General features: G+C 55.2%; 1 annotated feature.

Annotated features, from left to right (window-relative positions):
- Nucleotides 4–63: a silencer, noted in NCBI's record as "silent region_10835". NCBI's record gives its function as "represses an Ori minimal core promoter by ATAC-STARR-seq in GM12878 lymphoblastoid cells {active_cell/tissue: GM12878}" and the evidence as "EXISTENCE:reporter gene assay evidence [ECO:0000049][PMID:35858748]".

Genomic DNA, 2,118 nt, shown 5'->3' with positions numbered 1-2,118 from the left:
CTCGCAGACTTGGAGACGCGCGACCAGCGCTGCGGGCGGGGGCGGGGTCTGCCGGAGCCCCGCCCGCCGCGTCTCCGCCCCCGGACCCGCCCTGCTCGCCTTTCCCTGGTAGGGGGCCAAGCTACCCTGGGGTCCGAGTTCCCTTGCCCCACGGTAACGTCGGGGGTCAGAATGTAGCACCTCGGATCGGAGCTACCCCACTCCAAAAGGGGAACAGCGGAGTCCGGGCACTGTCTACACCCCTTCAGGAGGCAGTTAGTGCCCCAGCAGCCCCTCGGGACAAGACAGGTACCCTGCAGCCGAGCCCCATGTACGAGTGAAGACTCACGTCAGTGCTTCCTCCAGGGACACAAATCCAGAATTCGAGACCCTCCCTTTCCGGGAGAGAACTCCTGAGTGTCAGCACACTCTCCCCCCACAGGGCTGGGACTTCGCATCCAAACCCAACCCGCCTTAAAAGGGGGACATACACCTCCCTCGTCAGGGACCAGGATCCAGCTCTCTAAGGAGCTCCAGAGACCAGGATCCTGGCGTCTTATCTCCATCCCCCGCCGCAGGGACGGGAACCCTTACATCCAAGCTCCCCATTAGATCATAAATGGGAACTCAGGGGTTGTAGTACCTCGCACAGAGGACGGGAACCCAGGCGTCCAAGCCAGGCCTTCCCCAGTCTGATAGGAGGTCCTACAGTTCCCCTAGCTCCTTCTCTCCATGCAGCCCCCACTTCCCGTTCTCAGGGTCCTCCCTGGCATGGGGGTCTCCAGGCACTTAAAAGCCTCTACATGACCTTAACATGGGGAAAGAAAATGGAGCTGGGGCCGGGCGCGGTGGCTTACACCTATAATCCCAGCACCTTGGGAGGCCAGGGCGGTTGGATCACCCGAGGTCAGGAGTTCAAGGCCAGCCTGGCCAACATAGTGAAACCCTGTCTCTACTAAAAATACAAAAATTAGCCGGGTGTGGTGGTGGGCGCCTGTAATCCCAGCTACTCGGGAGGCTGAGGCAGGAAAATCCCTTGAACCTGGGAGGCGGAGGTTGCAGTGAGCCGAGATCCCGCCACTGCGCTCCAGCCCGGGTCAGAGAAGGAGAGTCCATTTCGAAAGAAAAGAAAAGAAAAAGAAAATGGAGCAGGGAGTCTTAGAAGAGGCATACAGTCAGGGGCTTGCAGGGAGCACGCGCTGGCCTTTGGTTGGGCAGATGGGGAAACTGAGGCACACACAAACACCCGTGTGCATTTGCTCACAACACACAAACTCATTCATGATCCTCATAGTTAACACTTAAGGGAGTGCTTGTTTTTTGCTAATACTTTATTTTATAGCAAGATTCTGAGATGGGCTCTGTTACTAGATGCATTTTACAACTAGGGAAACCGAGACATGGGGAAGTGATATAGCCTGGTGATAGTGGCCTCTCAGACAACAGATCCTTATTTATCCCCAGAGAGACTTGCTAGAGTTTCAGGGCAAGGAATCAAGCTCAGATCATGGGCTCCTGTCTCCTGACAGCACTTCCTGGCTGTGCAGCCTGGGCAGGTGCTATGCCAGCCATGAGAGGTACACTTGTGCCATTAATTAATTAATTAATTATTTTTGAGACACAGTCTTCTCGCTCTGTCACCCAGGCTGCATGATCACTACTCACTGCAGCCTTGAACTCCCAGGCTCAAGAGATTCTCCCACCTAGCCTCCTAAGTGGCTGGGACTACAGGTATGCACCACCCCACCCAGCTATTTTTTAAAAATGTTTTGTTGGCCGGGCGCAGTGGCTCATGCCTGTAATCCCAGCACTTTGGGAGGCTGAGGCGGGTGGATCACCTGACGTCAGGAGTTCAAGACCAGCCTGGCCAACATGGTGAAACCCCATCTCTACTAAAAATACAAAAATTAGCTGGACACAGTGGCGTGCACCTGTAGTCCCAGCTACTCAGGAGGCTGAGGCTGGAGAATCGCTTGAACCTGGGAGGCGGAGGTTGCAGTGAGCTGAGATCACGCCACTATACTCCAGCCTGGCAGACAGAGCGAGACTCCGTCTCAAAAAAAAAAAAAAAGTTTTGTAGAGAGAGGGTCTTGCTATGTTGCCCAGGCTGGTCTTGAACTCCTGGCTTCAAGCAATCCT

The sequence above is a fragment of the Homo sapiens genome, chromosome 19, assembly GCF_000001405.40.
Source record: "Homo sapiens chromosome 19, GRCh38.p14 Primary Assembly".
In the NCBI taxonomy this organism is placed as follows: Eukaryota; Metazoa; Chordata; class Mammalia; order Primates; family Hominidae; genus Homo; species Homo sapiens.
The sequence above is the reverse complement of the archived record's forward strand: the minus strand, read 5'-3'. Positions and strand labels throughout refer to the sequence as shown.